The following is a 20,496-nucleotide window of genomic DNA, read 5'->3' on the forward strand; positions in this document are numbered from 1 at the left end:
TTGACTAATTTATAGATCTAATACCTGTTTTTCTGGAGACAGGGTCTTGCTCTATCACCCAGGCTGGAGTGCAGTGGCGCAATCTCGGCTCCCTTCAGCCTCCTCAGCTGAGACTATGGGTGTACACCACCACACTCAATTAATTTTTAAAATTTTTTGTAGAGATGTAGTCTCCCTATGTTGCCCAGGCTGGTCTCAAGGTCCCAGCTGGAGCAATCCTCCTGCCTTAGCTTCGCATAGTGTTGGGATTACAGGCTTGAGCCACTGTGCCTGGCAAGTCTAACACATTTCTAACTTGGAAAGAATTGCTACTCTTATAATATTTAATCTACCCACCCAAGAACACAATATTTCTTTTCATCTATCCAGCTCTTAATTATCTATTCTCAGCAAGGTTTGTTATTTTTCAACACTTCATCTTGTTAAATATAATTCTATAATTTTATGCTTTTGTCAGGGGGTAAAGTTTGTTACTAAAAGCTTCTTTCAACAGGCTAATTATGCAATTTCTTTATTATTTTTTTGAGACAGAGATTGCTCTGTCACGCAGGCTGGAGTGCAGTGGTGCAATCTCAGCTCACTGCAACCTCTGCCTCCTGGGTTCAAGCAATTCTCCGGCCTCAGCCTCTTGAGTAGCTGAGACTACAGGTGCGTGCCACCACACCTGGCTAATTTTTGTATTTTTGGTAGAGATGGGGTTTCCCCATGTCGGCCAGGCTGGTCTCGAACTCCTGACCTCAAGTGACCCACCTGCCTTGGCCTCCCAAAGTGCTGGTATTACAGGTGTAGGCCACTGCGTCCGGCTAATTATGCAATTTATTTTTTGCTGGCTTATGCTATAACCAGCTTGCATTTATTAATTCAGATATGCCTCTAGGTTAGGCTGCTGTAAGGGCTTGACTGGAGACATTATACAGTGATGTTTAAGAGCATGAGTTTTGGAGCTGGCATATCTGGATCAAAGTCTTTGTGCCACTGACTATCCACCTTAGTTAGGATCAAATGAAGTAATGCATATAAAGTACTCACTGTTTGGATCAGAATGTTCAATATGTAATGAAAAATAACCATAAAATTTAAGTAAAAGTCATGAAAAGTCTGCTTTTTCTCCATTATGACCAGTCAGGTGCTCATATTCAGAAATATCAAAGAAATAAAAAGTTGGTATTCTCGCTTTATTACTGGGCAATTTGATAGACTACTGTTGACTTGTCTGCCTACTCCATAATCCAGTACTGGTAACTATTATTACTATAATTTCACTTAATCCTTCAACTAACTAGGGACTTCAGTATCCCCATTAAAACCTAGTAGTACATATCTTAAAATGTATAGTTTTTAAAAAAGAAATATGGTTTTCATCCTTACCTTGCATTAGGGGTAAGGCTTCGTAAGACATGAGTAAGGGAGCTAAGTGGCAGGGATCCAGACTGCTTTACCAGAAGAGAGTTCTCATAGGAGGTTTCTTCAGTATAAGGACTGTATGTAGTAGTTTCATACCAGAGCCAGTTAAAAAGACTCTGCTTTGCATGATCCCACACTAGCACATGATCAAAGAAAACAAGAATTACAAATTATTTTTATATTGTCATGTTACTAGATTCCACTTTACAAAAGAATGAGAAAGGATTAAATAAAAATGAATCCCCAAGTTTTTCATTTTTGCCACTTCCATATCTAAATCAGTAACTCACAATCTAATTTCATTTTCAACCAACATCTGAACCTTTATTTTCAATTAAGCATAAATTAAAATCTTAGCACTACCAATGCATTCTTTTTAAAAAATTAGTAATGTTTTAACATTTTCTTCTACAGGATTATCAGAAAGTCTATAAATTAAGTTCATAAAATAAATGTTGCGATATTACAAGAAGAGAAAGAGACCAAAATAATAGTTGGGTCTTTTCCCTCCATTTAACTTTAGACTAAAACATCCTCATTTAGTATCTGAATTTTTATTTCCAAAAATTATGTTCTAAATTAGATTGAGAACATCTTTTTGGCAACCTGTGTTTTTAAACATGTAAAAGGGGAAAAAGCGTACTAAAAACAGTAAAAATTTTCTGATTTATATTAATAGAATTTGTCTTGTAAGACTGATATCTCTAGAAGGAAAAATAGTAACAATTAACTTACTGAGAGGAGCATTGAGGTGGTCAATGGATGCTATAAGGTAAATGTTATGCAAAGATGACAACTGACCAATGATTTGCTGGCTCTTCTCTCCTCTCAACATCTGGCTATCCAAATTGTGGATGAGAAGGAAGAGTTCTAAAGAAGAATCTAAAAAGAAAAGAAATCCAATTATTATTATTATTATTTTTAGAGGGTCTCACTCTGTTGCCTAGGCTAGAGTGCAGTGGTACAATCATAGCTCACTGCAGCCTCCAACTCCTGGACTCAAGCAATCCTCCCACCTCAGCCTCTCGATTACCTGGAACTAGGCGCACACCACCATGCCTGGCTAATTGTTTTTTTGGTAGAGACGGGGTCTCACTAAGTTGCCCAGGTTGGTCTTGAACTCCTGGACTCAACTTGGCCTCCCAAAGTGCTAGGATCACAGACGTGAACCACCATGTCCAGCTGCAATTATTATTTTTAGTGATATTTCAGTGATTATTTCCTCTACCATACACAATGCCTAGGTATTAAAAAATAAAGTAGTATAGGATAAAATAATGATTGCTTAGGGGTATGTAATTTATTTGAGAAGATATGTCATTTACTCATAAAATAGACATGATTAGCACTGAAGTCAGGCCCTACAGAAAGCAGCTTTTTGTTTTGTTTTGTTTTTTAAGACAAGTTCTGGCTCTGTTGTCCAGGCTAGAGTGCAGTGGGGTGATCTCAGCTCACTGCAACCCTGACATCCAGGGCTCAAGCCATCCTTCCACTTCAGCCTCCCGAGTAGCTGGGACTATAGGCGTGTACCACCACACCTAGCTGATTTTTATATTTTTTGTAGAGATGGGGTTTCACCATGTTGCCCAGGCTGGTCTAGAACTCGTGAGCTCAAGTGATCTGCCCGCCTCGGCCTCCCAAAGTGGTGGGATTACATGTGTGAGCCGCCGTGCTCAGCCTAAAGAAAGCAGCTTTAATAAGGCATGGGAAATAGGCAAGATGTATACAATAGATTGGAGGTGAATCTGTGCATGTTTTATTACACTGTGGGAGTGGAGGGATACCAAAAAAACCAAAGGATTTCTCAGAAAGCATTATATATAATGCTCTCAGAGATTATATAGAAAACCCGGATTATCACAAAAGCCAAAGGAGACCAAAAAAGGAGTGGGTGGGGGGTGGGGGTTAGGATACTGCTCAAGGCATCAGGAAGTTCAGATAAATTATAAAAGTCAGTGAAGGAGGAATTTAGAGGATGGAGCTGTTGACACTATCAAATACAGCAGAGATCAAGATAAAGGATGAGCCAAGGTCACTGGGCTTGGTAAGAAGAAAGTTACAGGTGATCAAGCATACAGTTCTGATAGCACAGAGGAAAGACATTAGAATGAAATAGGTAAAAAAAAAAAAAAAAAAAATTGAAGGCAGGACATGTCTTCCAAAATACTGAAACCGTATGAAACAGAAAAATAAAATAGTGTGAAAGGGCAGCAGAATCAGGTAACTTTTATTTTTAATGTATATTTAAAAGCCACAGGTATTGATAAGTCTCTCTGGAGACTTGGCATACGTGATAGAGTATAAGTCTTTCAGAGAGTGAGTTAATTTCTCTTCTACTCGGGGGTAGATGGGTAAGAGAGACAATACAGTGACAAAGATTCTGAGATGACACATTGTGAAAATCCCAGGTTCCCTGAAATCTAGACGTCATCATATTTAACAGTATCAAAACCAAAAACACCCAAAACCAAACGTATGTATACACACAGACGCACACAAATATAAAGTGACTTAGGCATCTATTTTAATGAGCATACGAACAATACTGGGCTCTTACAAGGATCTGTGGTAAGGGAATAAAAAGCAATGCTTCTGTTATTCTTTAAGTAGGAGAACTTATGTTGAAAACTAAAGACAATTCAGAAAAACAAGGCAAAATTATTATAGGAATAAATATTGCAGCAATTGATTTTTAATTAAATAATAAGGTTGAAAGAACTGAAAACAAACCAAACAGATTTGTTTCTCTTACAATAACCTGCTAGTAATTCACTATATGCCCACATAATCAATGAATAAGATATGTTCACATATGCAGTAGTTTTAGGGTTCTGGGAAATATATACTTGACTCTCATTACATTAAGTTCTATGCTGCTGCAAATCCTGAATTATTGAATACTGAACCACTGTTCCCAGAGGAAATACAGGGTTAGGTTCAATATATAACTTTGTTTTATGTGTGTTTCTGTTTAAAGGCAATTTTATTTTTATTTATTTACTCTTTTTGGAGACGGAGTCTCGCTCTGTTGCCCAGGCTGGAGTGCAGTGATGTGATCTTGGCTCACTGCAACCTCCAACTCCCAGGTTCAAGCGATTCTCCTGTCTCAGCCTCCCGACTAGCTGGGATTACAGGTGCGCACCACCAGGACCGGCTAGTTTTTTGTATTTTTTGTCGAGACAGGGTTTCACCATGTTGCCCAGGCTGGTCTCAAACTCCTAACCTCAAGTGATCCACCTGCCTCGGCCTCCCAAAGTGAAGGGATTGCAGGTGTGAGCCACCGCATCCGGCTTAAGGGCAACTTTATTTTTAATATACACTGTTGGTCTATTAACACGGAACTCACAGTCAAGAACACTGTAACTCATAACTGAAGGAAGTTTATATACACAGGTATTTTTTCCCCAAGGCACATCACAGCCTTCTTGTGCTTGGGAACACTAGATAGCATTTTAACACTATGCTTGCGGGCCATTTTAAACAGCCAAATCACCAACAAAAAAGCAGAAAAATGTGAAAAACGTAGCACTGAACAGACTGTGAAAACGATGCTTGTTTATAGTATGAGAGTTGAAACAAGAAGGCAAAGCATTGCCTTGTTTGACCTCGGCTTAGAATATGTACATTGGGCAATGCAAACTTTTTGCCACTCTGTGCCATGTTTCACTTTGCAAAAGTACCAAGAATATTGATTTTGGGATTATAAATAAATGTTAGCAAGCAGGTAAATTTGCTATTATAGAATTTGTGAATAATGAGAATCAACTCTACCTGTTTTCAAATGTGTAGAGTTGGTATAAAAATGTATATTGTCTGGCTGGGCTCATGCCTGTAATCCCAGCACTTTGGAAGGCCCAGGCAGGAGTATCCCTTGAGGCCTAGGAGTTTGAGACCAGCCTGGGCAACACAGTGAGACTCCATCTCTACAAAAAATTTTAACAATAGCCAGGCAGGTGATATGTGCCTGTAGTCCCAGCTAATGGGGAGGCTGAGTTGGGTGGATCACTTGGGCCCAGGAGATTTAGGATGTAGTGAGCTGTGTTTGTGCCACTGGACTCCAGCCTGGGTGAGAGAGCAAGACTGTGTTAAAAAAAAAAAGTATACGGTCCATTTCTATAAAGAACTGTGGATAAAATGGGTGTAGGAGTGTGAAAGGAAATTTGGGACAGAAAGCTTTTCAGGTTGGAAACAAAATGAAGACAAAACTAAAGAACATGCTAGAATATTGACAAGATAAAAGTACTACGGAACAGAGCTAAGATTATTGTCATTATCAAAAAAATTATCCATCAAAGCAGTTAGGCATTCTCAATTACTTCTCTTAATTCTTAATTTAGTCATTACTAAATGGCAATTAACTGTTAGAGACTATATAATACTATTTCCAATTTTCTGACATACTCACATAACCAAAACATTCACACCAAAAGAATCAAGAGATCTTAGTATATAAAATTATCTCAATGTAATGATATGTACACAGAATAAAGAAATAATGTTTTATTTATTTATTTATTTTTAGATAGAGTCTCACTCTATCACCCAGGGTGGAGTGCAGTGGTATGATCTTGGCTCACTGCAATCTCTGCCTCCCGGGCTCAAGCAATTCTCCTGCCTCACCCTCCCAAGTAGCTGGGACTACAGGCATGTGCCACCACGCCTGGCTAATTTTTTTGTATTTTTGTAGAGATGGGGTTTCACCATATTGGCCAGGCTGGTCTCGAACTCCTGACCTCAGGTGACCCACTGAGCTCGGCCTCCCAAAGTGCTGGGATTACAGGCGTCAGCCACTGCGCCCAGCCAAGAAATAATGTTTTATAAAAACATTAAACAATATAAAAATATCAGACAAACTTGTACCACTCAAGTGGAGGCACTTTACACAAGCAAAACAAAACCTGAAAATTATTCTGAAATAAATTCGCTGGGCTTGGTGGTGCACGCCTGTAATCCCAGCTACTTGAGAGGCTGAGGCAGGAGAATTGCTTGAACCCGGGAGGCGGAGGTTGCAGTGAGCCAAAATCGTGCCACTGCACTTTTGGAGTGTTTTATAAACAGAAACAGGCTTTTGGATATACAAACTTAAGAAAGTGGGACTAACATTTTTCTTTCCTGTTAAGTTCACGGAAAAAGTTCATAGAAAAAGGACAAACTTTTTTAGAGCACCAAGATAAATGCCATTATTAAAATAATCTTTTTGGGCCAGGTGTGGTGGCTCACACCTATAATCTCAGCCCTTTGGGAGGCCAAGGCAGGAGGACTGCTTGAGCCCAGAAGTTCAAGACTATCCTGGGCAACATAGCGAGACCTCATCTCTACAAATAATAAAAAATTAGCCAGGCATAATGGCACACGCCTGTGATCTGAGCTACCTGGGAGGCTGAAGTGGGAGAATTGCTTGAGCCCAGAAGGTCAAGGCTGCAGTGAGCCATGATCGCACCACTGCACTCCAGGCTGGGCAACAGAGAGACTGTCTCAAAAATAATAATAATAATATTGTATGTATATAAATACATGAATAAGTAGAAGTATATGCTTAACTTTACTCTAAAACTACCGAGCATCTACTTCATGTTACCTTCTTTAAATTTGTTTACTATCCAGTCTAGCTGATCCAGTATACTGCGGAAAGTACCCATATGATCGAGGACTTCTTCTGTTATAGAATTCAGGACCTATATCATGAATGTGGAAGAGGTACCACATTAATTACAATTTATTGTCATATACAACTAGAAAATCAAACCTTTTTTTATAAATTAAAAATGAATTTGGATTTCCCAAAAGTTTAAAAAATAACTTTTAAAAATTCTACTGGTACTTGAGTATATCTAATTCATTGTTTTTTGCCTAAGTTGTGGCTAAAAGAAAACAGAAAAGAATAGCAAAGATGTACAGGTAATAGGTAATATAAGAGGGCAGCAAAAACAAATGAAAAAGCTCCCAAGAACATGAGAAACATTAGAAAACTACAGTTCTATCAAAGGAAACAGGACACAAACACTACAGACACTTTAAAAAAGGAATACTATATGGCTCAATATCCAGCACCCAAAAGATTTCATGTTCAAATGATGAAGAGATATTAAGCATTTGAAATAAAAATGATCTATGATAAATGTATTGTTAAACTACAGTCTTCACATCACATCCTGTTGCATTTTAAAGCATTTTCACAGCATGTAGTTTTTGCCTAATAAAGCATTTTCATAGTTTATAACAAAACTGAAGACCCCATAATTCCCTCCTTCAGAAGTACCACTGATACTCAGTATAGTAAACAAAGCTAACATTTTCCTAAGTTTTAATACATGTCAGTTACAATGTAGGACATTCGAAGATGGTTTCAAAGCTAGATTCTTGAGTCCAAACACATGGTATTAAGCACTATACAATCCTACTACCGTGAAGGCTAAAACAAAAATTCTTTAATACTCCATCCTCATTTATGTGGGGGCTTGAATTGGCAGAGGATATAATGTTTTTCCCTTTAACATTTTTGAAACTTACTGATTTCACACTGATTCCAGGAAAGAAGCCATTGATGACAACGTGAATGGAATCTTGCAGCATAGTGGTTCGAAACCTTTCTAGTAAATCTCTCTTAGAACCCAAACCATAAAGCACAATGTTGAACCCAAGGCTGTTAGGAAAGACAGTATTCATGAAATTAAACTTCAATACCTCTTATTGCCAATTTTATTATCAACCAGTTTCCTTAAATTCAGTTTATAAAAAATACAGGAAAGGGGTAGGCGCACTGGCTCAAGCCTGTAATCCCCGAATTTTGGGAAGGCAAACGCAAAAAAGTTTTTCATGTATGTATATATATGTATCTTTTTTTTTTTGAGACAGAGTCACTCTGTCACCCAGACTGGAGTCCAGTGGCACTCTTGGCTCACTGCAACCTCAGCCTCCCAGGTTCAAGCAACTCTTCAGCGTCAGTCTCCCAAGAAGCTGGGGCTACAGCTGTGCACCACCATACCTGGCTAATTTTTATATTTTTACTAGAGATGAGCTTTTGCCATGTTGCCCAGGCTGGTCTTGAACAACTGGGCTCAAGTAATCCACCCACCTTGGCCCCCAAAATTGCTGGGACTACAGGTGTGAGCCACCATGTCTAGCCAAAAATATTTTTATTTAAAAAAAAAATTAGGTCAGGTGCGGTGGCTCACGCCTGTAATCCCAGCACTTTGGGAGGCCGAGGTGGGCGGATCACGAGGTCAGGAGATCGAGACCACAGTGAAACCCCATCTCTACTAAAAATACAAAAAAAAAAAAAATTAGCTGGGTGCAGTGGCGGGTGCCTGTAGTCCCAGCTACTTGGGAGGCTGAGGCAGGAGAATGGCGTGAACACGGAAGGCGGAGCTTGCAGTGAGCCGAGATCCCGCCACTGCACTCCAACCAGGGCAACAGAGCAAGACAGTGTCTGTAAAAAAAAATTAACTAATTAATAATAATTTTTTTTTTCGCTCTGTCGCCCAGGCTGGAGTGTAGTGGCACCATCATAGCTCACTGCAACCTCCGCCTCCCGGGTTCAAGCGATTCTCCTGCCTCAGCCTCCTGAGCAGCTGGATTACAGGCGCCCGCCACCATGCCCAGCTAATTTTTATATTTTTAGTAGAGACGGGGTTTCACCATGTTGGTCTTGAACTCTTGACCTCAGGTGATGTGCCTGCCTTAGCCTCTCAAAGTGCTGGGATTACAGGCATGAGCCACCGTGCAAGGCCAGGAATCAATGTTTAGTGATTCAGCCATCCCAGTTCTTCCTCTTCCTTCCTAAAAAAAAAAAGTATTCTTTTTAAAAATTATTATTGGCCGGGCATGATGGCTCACGCCTGTAATCCCAGCACTTTGGGAGGTCGAGGCAGGTGGATCACATGAGGCCAGGAATTCGAGACCAGCCTGGCCAACATGGTGAAATCCTGTCTCTACTAAAAATACAAAAATTGGCTGGGCATGGTGGCAGGTGCCTGTAATCCCAGCTACTTGGGAGGCTGAGGCAGGAGAATTGCTTGAACCTGGGAGGTGGAGGTTGCAGAGAGCTGAGATCACATCACTACATTCCAGCCTGGGCAACAGAGTAAGATTCCATCTTAAATAAATAAATAAATATTTATTCCAAACCCATACAAGGTAAAGGCACAATTTTATTATCTGTATACCAAGCTTCTAGTTCTAATTTGTTCAGTAGCTTCACTGTAGCTTCTATTACTTTTCAGATGACAGATGACTGGAGGCAAGGGAGACCATTGCCAATAAAAGCCCTAAAAAGGCCAGGCGCAGTGGCTCACGCCTGTAATCCCAGCACTTTGGGAGGCCGAGGCGGGCGGATCACGAGGTCAGGAGATCGAGACCATCTTGGCTAACACGGTGAAATCCTGTCTCTACTAAAAATACAAAAAAATTAGCTGGGCGTGGTGGCAGGCACCTGTAGTCCCAGCTACTCAGGAGGCTGAGGCAGGAGAATGGCGTGAACACGGGAGGCAGAGCTTGCAGTGAGCCGAGATTGCACCACTGCACTTCAGCCTGGGCAACAGAGCAAGACTCTGTCTCAAAAAAAAAAACAACAAAAAAAAAGTCCTAAAAACTTTTATAGGCTGAAGCAGAGTTGAAACTGATACAAATTGAAAAGAGGTCAAGTAACAAAGGCCTTGTTAAGTCATACTAAACCATTAATTCACTCATTCCAAGGAGAATGAGCATTTATTTATTTATTTTGAGATGGAGTCCTGCTCTGTCACCCAGGCTGGAGTGCAGTGGTGCGATTTTGGCTCACTGCCTCCCGCGTTCAAGCAATTCTCCTGCCTCACCCTCCCAAGTAGCTGGGATTACAGGCATGCACCACTAAGCCCGGCTAACTTTGTATTTTTAGTAGAGACAGGATTTCACTATGTTGGTCAGGCTGGTCTGGAACTCCTGACCTCAGGTGATCCACCCACCTTGGCCTCCCAAAGTGCTGGAATTACAGACGTGAGCCACCGTGCCCAGCCAAGAATGAGCATTTAAAAGTAACTAATGAGGGGTTAACAGAAAGGTTTTAAGTAGGAAAGTAACATGTTCTTTTCAGAAAGATCACATTGATTATATTTGGGGAATGGACAGGAAGGAACAAAACTGTGGAAGATTAACTTAGCTGTCATGGAGAAAAATGTTAAAATGTCAAGAACTTTATAGAAAGTCAAACCAGTAAGAGTTGGAGACTGATTAGATGTGGAGAGTGAGGAAAAGAATACTTAAGAATGACTCAGGGCTGGGCGCTGTGGCTCACACCTGTAATCCCAGCAGTTTTGGAAGCCAAGGCAGAGAATTGCTTGTGCCCAGGGGTTTGAGACCAGCCTAGGCAAGATGGTGAGACCTCATCTCTACACAATAAAAAATAAAAAAAATTAGCCCAGGCATGGTGGCACACATCTATGGACCCAGCTATTTGGGAAGCTGAGGTGGGAGGATTGCTTGAACCCAGGAGGTTGGGGCTCCTTGAGCTGTATTCACACCATTCTGGGTGACAGAGTGAGACTGTCTCTTAAAAAGAAAAGAAAAAAAAAAAAGAATGACTCAGTTTTCTGCCATAGGCAACTACACAAATGGAGTGACTAACATTCAGTCATTCACTCTGCTGGATAGCAGGGGCAGGTGGGAACAGTGGATTTCAGATGAGTTTAATTTTATGTATGTTGAATTATTTACAGGACACCCAAGTATAAACTTCTAATATACATTCAGATATCCAGGTCTGCTACTGAGAGTGAGGTATGGGTTGGAGGTTAACAGTTACATGAGTCATTCATATACAGAAAACAACTGAAGCCAGAAGGGTGAATGAGACCACCCAGAACACCAAGCACTAGAGGTCAAGCTAAAGTCCAACTCCGTGATTGTTTACAAAGGTCAAGCAGAAACAGTATTTATGTGATGCTCTCTGGCAATGCAGGATAACCTAGAAATGGAAGAACAGAAAAGAGGTAACCTCCAAAGGTAGAGATTACCAAGGTCAAAGCAGCAGAAATAAAGAGGCAAGGAATTCAGAGAGCTAGCAATTCCAACAAACTTGCTGACTATAAGGTCTAATCTGAGAAGCAAAGCAAATTAAGTTATCTAAGTTGACACGCTGGGAGAAAAAAATGATGGGCTGGGGATGGGATTAGAATGAAGAGCTTACAAATTTATAATGCATAGATCCATAAATAGTTATTGAGAGAAGCTGAGGTTCTTGCAGGCAAGTTAATCATTCCCTTCCTAGCATAACTTTTTTTTTTTTTTTTTTTTAAGACAGAGTCTCTCAAACCCCTGGGCTCAAGCAATCCTCCTGCCTTGGCCTCCCAAAGCACTGGGATTATGGGAGGCCAAGTGCCTGGTCCATGGCTCTACCTTCTTATTTACCTCAGTGACAATGTAACTGTGAGTGTGCATGTATATTCACATTAGTGTACATTTTAAGCACTTCCTTATGTTCAAGTCTTTTTAACTGCAAGGATAAAAGTAATTATCATAAAAAGAAAGTATTATGTTTTGATTTCAATCATTCTTCTAGGTGTTTTAATGGAAATTTAAAATTTAATCTGAGGTGTGTGAAAATAATAACAGTGAAAAAATATTCTAGGAAATAATGTTAAAATAGTAAAATAATGCTTATAGAACAAATCTGTTCATAAAATTCTGAAAGTCTGTAGTACACATACATAAGATTAAAGTAAATATTATCCTTTCATTTAAAGAACTATGCTGTGGAAAACTTTATAATTTTTTTTTCTAATTGTTATATTTATTAATCTTGACAAAGGAAATATTCAAGTTTTTTAAACCAATAACATAATTCTAAGAAATGCTATTTATCTTATCAATGGCTGTCAAGTCTGATAAACACAAATTTCTTAAAAACTGTAGAATTTCTGGGAAGAGTCATACAATAAAGTGACATTTCTATATCTGAGTCATAATGTCTATTTTTACATTTATTTTTATATATGACTAAATATCTGAAACTCACTGTAAAAAGAAAAATGTTAACTTACTTTAACATAAAGATTCATGTAAATATTATTCTTTATTTTACAAGGGTTTGTAATGATAATACTTACTGTAATTGCAGCATCCATTTATGAAATAATTTTTCATACTGTTGATTTAGTTGTTTAAGTTCGGCAGAAAAGGAAGGGGAAACCTTGCTCAATAAGTTACGCAAAGTTTGCTTTAAAAAAAAGGAGGAGGGGAAAAAAGTCATTCTCAAAGCACAGACAGCAAATCAATCCAAACAATTTCCTTAGAAGTAGAGCTTAGAAGAAGCCAATCCAATTGGAATATTACTTTAATCTGGTTTGGCAATGAGTATATCAACCGATAAACAAAATTCTTAAAAAATAATTTTTTTGTTTTCTTAAAATTGTTAACATTCTTTTTAGTAATAACAGTAAAGAATTTGGTAAGTTTTGTCCAGAACCACTTAAATGATTATAAACTCCAAGAATAGGCTTTACTTTCTCAGAAAACATTAAAGGTTCTTTATAATTTACTTACTATTATCATTAGTAAAATAAACCTATATCACTGCTCCTCTTCCAAAAGCTGTTTCTAACAAATCCTTTATCTTTGGTAAGTATTGCAAATTTTTAAAAACAATAATATAAATAAACTGAGGAAAGTGCATTGCCCTGTACCCCAAACTTGGAAATTCATGCTGATGAATCAGAGATCATTTTTTGAAATGAAAACTCTAGCAAAAAGCTACACATGGGTCTTCACTTTGGCACTACCATGTTTTCATGATTCCACCACCTTTCAAGTAAAATATTATTTAAATACTGAAGATTAGAGTTGCGATAAATATTCCAGGTACTCTGGCTTGTACTGTGTTTATTTAGTCACAGTTAAAGCAAACAGAACTACCTTTAAGTAAAATTGTTAAGTAGGTAGTTAAAAAAAAACAACTCTTATCTCTTCTGAGTTCAGAGCCCTGAAAAAGCAGAGAAAGCACTAATATCTTTTCCAGCAGTCATTTACACTAGATTATCTGAGCATATTCACACTTGAGTGTGAACACTAGAATGTTATCTCATGTATGTACTTTCATTTCAAACTTTTTTTTTTTTTTTTTTTTTTTGAGACAGAGTCTTGCTCTGTCACCCAGCCTGGAGTGTGGTGGCACAATCTCAGCTCACTGCAAACTCCACCTCCCAGGTTCAAGCGATTCTCCTGCCTCAGCCTCCTGAGTAGCTGGGAGTACAGGCGCGTGCCACCACGCCTGGCTAATTTTTGTAGTTTTAGTAGAGATGGGGTTTCACCATGTTGGGCAGGCCGCTCTCAAACTCCTGACCTCGTGATCCTCCCGCCTTGGCCTCCCAAAGTGCTGGTATTACAGGTGTGAGCCTCCATGCCCAGCCTCATTTCAAACTTTAATTAATATTCATGGAAAACTGCACTTTCGACCCCAATATCCAGCTGTACTAGAATGAAGCAGAACTGGCAATCTAGTTTTGAGCCTGGGCTGTAAGAGATTGTGTGTTTTCCCACTTTTCCTCTTATGCCTCTGCCACTGTCATGAGGATAACATGCCTCAGCTAGCCTGCTGGTCCAACGAGGAAAAGAAACATGGAGCAAATCCTAGATCAGCCAACTTCTGACTGACTTGCAGACATGAAAAATGCTTATTGTCACATGCTACTGAAGATTGTATTGGTTAGCTATGCTATGTTTACGCCCAATGAAAGGCTTTCGTCTCCCTCACTGACAGGTGTTTCTTTCATCCTCCTAGAGATCTTTTTGCCTCTAAGTCTGATGAAGTCCTATTGTGAGTCTAGACTCATGTGTCCTTCTCCCATATTGCTTATATTCTCTGATCCGAGTCTCAATACCAATGAGCCAGGACTTAGATTATCAATTGCAATTATTACTGACAAAGATTTTCTCACTCAGATGGTTCTGTCTCCTCTCACAGAGATGTAAAACCCCAGCAAGTATAACTGTATGGTATTTTTTTTTTTTTTTTTTTTGTAAAATGAGCTACTGGAACCATGGTACATAGTAATCTTGTTACCTTACCACACTGGGCAGGTTTTCCATAATATCCTCAAGCAGAATATCCTCTACTTTGTGCAAAGTTTTTAACTGAGAGAAAGTCAGGTTGCAGTTGCTGTTTTATGACCAGTGTGAGATTTAGTGAATACATATAGGTTAAATGAATAACAGAGATAAATGGTAAATGGATATCAAGGAACTATGACCCTGATGATTATCATAGATCCTGAAGAAATAATAAACGAGTAAGAGGGGAAAAATGCATAATTACAGTCTGTCTAATCCAGTAAATTATTTATTTATTTATTTAAATTTTTAGTAACAACGAGGTCTCCCTATATTGCCCAGGCTGGTCTCAAACTCCTGTGTTCACATAATCCTCCTCCCTTGGCCTCCCAAGGTGCTGAGATTACAGGTATGAGCCAGGTGTGCCCGGCCTATTTACTATTTATATAATAAAAGAAGTAATAATCACATTAACTTGTGTTTCATTTGATCAGGACAATAATTCTACTTGTGTATACTTTTCAAATCTGTTGCTTACGTAGCATATTTTTCAGGACAGAGTAAAAAAAATTTAGAAGTAACATTCCTTGTAACATACCTGATCCAGTTTAGCTCTCTTTAGCTTCTGCAGTGTTCTATCAGAGGTTAAAACTTTTGAACTGCTGTGAGCTTCAAAATATTCTTCTACTAAGTCACTCTGAAAGTGAACAGAGTAGTCAGTCCTTAGTAGCTTCAAATATCTGTCTCATATCAAAATTAGACAGTAATATTAATGTAAAATAGGACACGTGAAATTCTTTACTTGGTAGTATTTTCTTTTTAAAGCAACAGTACCAGTTAAGGACCAAGCATATTTAATTTCAGTAATAAAACTGAGTAATTACTAGGATCATATAAGTTAAAGAAATGACTAGGTGAAGTAGTAGTCTGTTCCTAAAAATGATTCCTAAGTTACAATATGTAATTTCCATTTAGACTAAAAAAAGAGAGATGGTTTTATATATCAAGATCTTTGTTTCTCCTCAAGTAAGTCTTTTTTTTTTCCTTTCTTTATTGAGGAAGGGTCTCACTCTGTCACCCAGGCTGCAGTGTAGTGGTGCAAATACAGCTCACTGTACCCCCAACCTCCTGGGCACAAGGGATCCTCCTACCTCAGCCTTCCAAGTAGCTGGGACTACAGGCATGCACCACTACACCTGACTAATTTTTTAAATTGTTTTTTTTTTTTTTTTGCAGAGACAGGGTCTTATTATGTTATCCAGGCTGGTTTCAAACTCCTGGCCTCAAGCAATCCTCCCACCTTGCCCTCCCAAAGTGTTGGGATAACAGGCATGAGCCACCATGCCTGGCTTCAAATAGTCTTAGCAAATCCTTTAATATTAGTATAGCTGAAGTACTGTGAAAATGAGGAAATCAACTGCAAGGTAACAAAAGAAAAAAAAGAAACCCACAAACAAATAAAAAAACTGGCCTACTATTCCAGTCAAGCGGAATTTTCTTCTCACACTATTTGTTCTTCTGATTTTGGGCAGGACTAAACTCTAGGGTGGTAAGGAAGGGACAGAAAGCTATTTAAGCAGTAGGCTCCTCAATTGCTCTGAACCTTTAGACAGAGCACCAGGATAATTAGCCTTTTCTAAAACCAAGGTGCCTGCAATGTTCTTCCAAATGACTCAACATGGGTCCCTAGCCACATCATTCATTACACTGACTTGAATACATTGACAATGGTACAAAAACAAGATACACTGAGAACTCATGCCTCCAATTGTCCAATCAATATTTACTTAAAAGTTCATTTTTTATTTTTGTTATTTTTTATTCTAATCCCATAGCTTATTTAAAAATTTATTTATTTATTTTTGAGACGGAGTTTCGTTCTTATTGCCCAGGCTAGTACAATGGCATGATCTCGGCTCACTACAGCCTCTGCCTCCTGGGTTCCAGCAATTCTCCTGCTTCAGCCTCCCGCGTAGCTGGGATTACAGGCACACATCACCACACCTGGCTAATTTTTGTGTTTTTAGTAGAGACAGGGTTTCACCATGTTGGCCAGGCTGGTCTCGAACTCCTGACCTCAGGTGATCCACCCGCCTTGGCCTCCCAAAGTGCTGGGATTACAGGCATGAGCCACTGTGCCCAGCCTAAAAAGTTCATTTTTATACAGTGGAATTGAGATGTCACTTTTAGCATATACTATTTAGCATATACTATGGTATTAATTCATGAATATGTAGACAGGCCAGAAAAGAAAGCCCAGAAGTAGAAACAAATATATGTGGGAATTTATGTGGAAGGCTGAGAAAATATAGAAAAGTGAAGAAAAAATATTATTTTGAGAGATGTGGATCTCTTAGGGTAGCCTATCTTTGAAATATTACACAATTTTTCTTTAAGGTTAAAGTCTCTCTCTTCACTTACTGTTTTATCTCTTTTCATTCTCTTAGAAGGTGTTTCTTTGCCAACAGGAGCTGAAACTACTCTATTCTGAGCTTGAATCTTTTGGCTGAATATGACTGCATTAGTGTCCTCTTCATGTTCCTGTGCAACCCCTTCATCATCCTCTGAGTTGGAAGCAGAATATTCGCTTTCACTGTCAGAATGAGACCTTGGAACTGTGGGGGGAAAAATAGCAATTTGGACAATTTCATGGTTTGACAAGAGAGGCATTGTGGGGTAAAGCAAAGAGTGGGGGCTCTGTAGTAAGAGTCTGAATTCTGGTTTTGTCATTACCTGCTCATGATTTCACCAGAGCTAATTAACAAATTCTCTCAGCACCAGTTTATTTATCAAATTAATAGTACATAGTTTAATAAACCATTAGGAAGATTACATTGAAATGTATATAAAGCCACTAATAATTCCTGACACACAGGAACTGTGATAGAAATTGTTAATCATACCTAACACCGTTCTCCTTCCCTCTTCCTTGCTAACAGAACTCCAATTTTGCAAAATATGGCAATATGCCCCATCCTAGGGGATGAATCATGGTAACTGCCTTTTTCCTCTTCAAGGTACCTGCTTTCCCAGCCTCTGCTCCAACTATGGTTGACTATGTGACCCCTTGACCAGTGAATTGAGGGAAAATAGCTGGCAGCTTCTGAGAAGGATTTTCCTCAATTACGGAAGAAAAGCCCCTATTTATACCCATCGTTTAAAGCTATGAAAGCCATTTTGCAATATGAAGTATCAAACCTAAAGATGAAAAATGCTGGTGGCAGAGTAAAAGATAGGAAGAATCTGGGTCCTTAATGATACTGTTAAGTCACATCAACCATGGAACTTGCATCTCCATACTTGTTTTGATGTGAGATACTTAAATGTCTATGGCTTAAACTACCATTATAGAATTTTCTGTTGCTGCCTACTGAAAACGTCATACTAACTAATATAGCACTCAATAAATGGTACTTATGATTATAATTATTACTAATACATACACATACACCATCCCAGAGTTGATTCAAGAATTGTCTTTTTAAACAAACCACAACCTCATCCCTACAACTCCCCAGAAATAATATAGCTAGTTTTACATTTATCAAATAAGAATAAAGCCAGTTTCACACTAAACAGGCATAAAACTGTTTTTAAAAGCTAACTTCCAAAATATGAGTGAAAAAACTTAAACAAATCAGCATATTTATTCTGAACAACAGATATACTGCAGAGGATTATCCCAAGTCAGCATGTAACAAATGTAGATATTAAAAAAAAAAAGAAAAAAAAAGGCTTGATTTTGTGGGCATATATAGCTCAGCAGATTCAGGTGTGCATTGACTGCTGCTCGTGGTACATGCACAGTTAGAAGTGGTGGCAGGTACCAGAAAGTATCTCTACCTTCTTTACATGTATGCTTCCTCCATGTAGGTATATATGTTTTGTGGTGATTAAGAAGGAAGAGGGAAGTTCACCTTCTCTCTAAAAAACAACCCATATTTGGGATGAGGAGAAAACATAAGACATGGGATATAGTTGACATGAAATAACAATCACAACTATACAGATCTTTTACTGCTTTAATATACCAAATCATTTAGCATTACCAATTTTATGGTGATTAAAAATACAGTTTTAACAACTCTATGAAATCCATACCTTGAAAAGAAAGGGCTATGAAGTATGAAGCCCTGATGTTAGGCTGAATTTAACAATGTTGACTAATACTATTATTGTCAAGGGTCAACATTATGAAAGGTGTTGACATCTTCCTGATATATAAAGGTCCAGTCATTTGCCTCAAAGTTCAATATTCAAAAATCTGAAACGATTTTTAATTTCCTAGAAGGCAGAAGCCATGTCTGTTTACTTGACTTTGTTTAGCATTCAGTACAACTATGAATATTTAATATTATTTCATTATAAAATTTCCAAATAAATCAATAGAATAATTTCCAAACTGTCTCAAAACAATTAAAAGGCATGTTATTTCATTGGAAAGACCTTTTAGCTGACTTCAATATACACTGACTACAATGTGAAAGACATGGTGCTAAGTGTTGCAACTAAAAGCCAAAGATTCAAAACACCAAGCAGTCTAAGTCTAGAACCTATATACTTAACTATTATTGCCTCTTGTTTAGATGCTACTTTTTATAAAAAGTCATGTAAAAACAAATACGTACCTATTAATCTTTTTCTTAGACTACGAGGTGCTGTTGACAGAAATTCACTTTTGTCATTGTTCTGTTTAGAAATAGAAAAAGCATTAAATAATAACATGGAAATTAATGACTGATCTGAGTGAAAGAGGCTAGAAAAAAAGAAAAATATTTTGCTTTCAATAGACTGCATTAGAACTAGATGAGCTTAGTTCCTAGAACTAGAAGATTATGACAAATGGGTTCAAACCATTCTCCTGCCTCAGACTCCCAAGTAGCTGTGATTATAGGCACGTGCCACCACACCCAGCTAATTTTTGTATTTTTAGCAGAGACAGGGTCTCACCATGTTGGCCAGGCTGGTCTCAAAACTCCTGACCTCAAGTGAACCGCCCACCTTAACCTCCCAAAGTACTGGGATTATGGGTGTGAGCCACAGCGCCCGGCCCAATGGAGTATTTTTTTAAAAGATAGTATTATGTAGCAATCATAAGTATGAAAGGGAACGGGCACCCCTATGTATATGGCAATGGGCCTTTTAATGTGCTAGAAATTTACTGGTGTTAAAGTATTACATTCTTTGAGGAGAGAAGGAGAGATTTACACTTTCTTACTTTCTGTATTTAAAAAATTGTAACTTTTTGTAGGAGTACAAAGTCTGTTTTTTTATAGAATACTTTAATACCATAAATTGTTAGCACATTAAAACATCCACTGTTATATACCTGTAAATTTCTAATAGTACTGATAAAAAAGTTAAAGTACCCTGTGATTTTGTCAACATGACAATATGACAAAAAAATTTAAGTTTATTGTCTTGTGATAGATTGCTGGTGTCATTAAAATCTGATTTGATTTTAAGAATAGTACTCTAGGCCGGGCACAGTGGCTCATGCCTGTGTAATCCCAGCATTTTGGGAGGCCAAGGCGGGCAGATCACCTGAGGTCGGGAGTTTGAGACCAGCCTGACCAACATGGAGAAATCCCGTCTCTACTAAAAATACAAAATTAGCCGGGCGTGCTGGTGCATGCCTGTAATCCCAGCTACTCGAGAGGTTGAGGCAGGACAACTGCTTGAACCTGGGAGGTGGAGGTTGCGGTGAGCCGAGATCACGTTATTGGACTCCAGCCTGGACAACACAATGAAACTCTTCCTCAGGGGGAAAAAAAAAAAAAAAGAATAGTACTCTAATAACTGAGCTAATCCCTTACCAATGGAATTACAGTATGTCTCAAATTTTTTGATCAAGATCCTCAAAAATTTTTACATTTTGTCATCTTGACCCAGTACACGTGTATATATAACTAAAAAAAATTATAAAACAGAAATTTAAAATTCTGTTCTACTTCATTTGTTAAAAATGCAGTTTATGTCCTATTAAACTGATTTCAAGATTGAGTATTGAGATAACTTATATATATCTACACAGCTTAAGTCTGAGAATTCACAACACCTGTGTCAAAATAA

The 20,496-nt window shown here is 38.4% G+C and overlaps 1 protein-coding gene across 10 annotated transcripts in view, besides 1 other annotated feature; it reads right to left on the bottom strand.

Annotated features, from left to right (window-relative positions):
* Positions 1-20,496, bottom strand: part of ORC2 (origin recognition complex subunit 2) — a 54,684-nt gene that overhangs the window by 9,877 nt on the left and 24,311 nt on the right. For 8 of the 10 annotated variants that reach the window (NR_033915.2, XR_002959301.2, NM_006190.5 and 5 more), the window contains 8 exons: positions 19,053-19,113; positions 16,846-17,039; positions 15,023-15,121; positions 12,486-12,595; positions 7,915-8,047; positions 6,983-7,079; positions 2,140-2,286; positions 1,369-1,540 (listed from right to left, as the gene is read on the bottom strand). Coding sequence is in view for 8 of the 10 variants with exons in the window: in NM_006190.5 (NP_006181.1) it covers positions 1,369-1,540; positions 2,140-2,286; positions 6,983-7,079; positions 7,915-8,047; positions 12,486-12,595; positions 15,023-15,121; positions 16,846-17,039; positions 19,053-19,113 (1,013 nt within the window). In the remaining 2 variants the exon portion in view is untranslated. Of the gene's footprint in view, positions 1-1,368; positions 1,541-2,139; positions 2,287-6,982; positions 7,080-7,914; positions 8,048-12,485; positions 12,596-15,022; positions 15,122-16,845; positions 17,040-19,052; positions 19,114-20,496 lie in introns of those variants that run through there. The other 2 variants (XM_047444572.1, XM_047444570.1) reach the window with 1 other exon arrangement.
* Positions 16,255-16,756: an enhancer, noted in NCBI's record as "OCT4 hESC enhancer chr2:201799831-201800332 (GRCh37/hg19 assembly coordinates)". NCBI's record gives its function as "activates a minimal SCP1, AML or CMV promoter by ChIP-STARR-seq in naive H9 embryonic stem cells {active_cell/tissue: H9 hESC(naive)}" and the evidence as "EXISTENCE:reporter gene assay evidence [ECO:0000049][PMID:30033119]".

The sequence above is a fragment of the Homo sapiens genome, chromosome 2 (genome assembly GCF_000001405.40).
Source record: "Homo sapiens chromosome 2, GRCh38.p14 Primary Assembly".
NCBI lineage: Eukaryota > Metazoa > Chordata > Mammalia > Primates > Hominidae > Homo > Homo sapiens.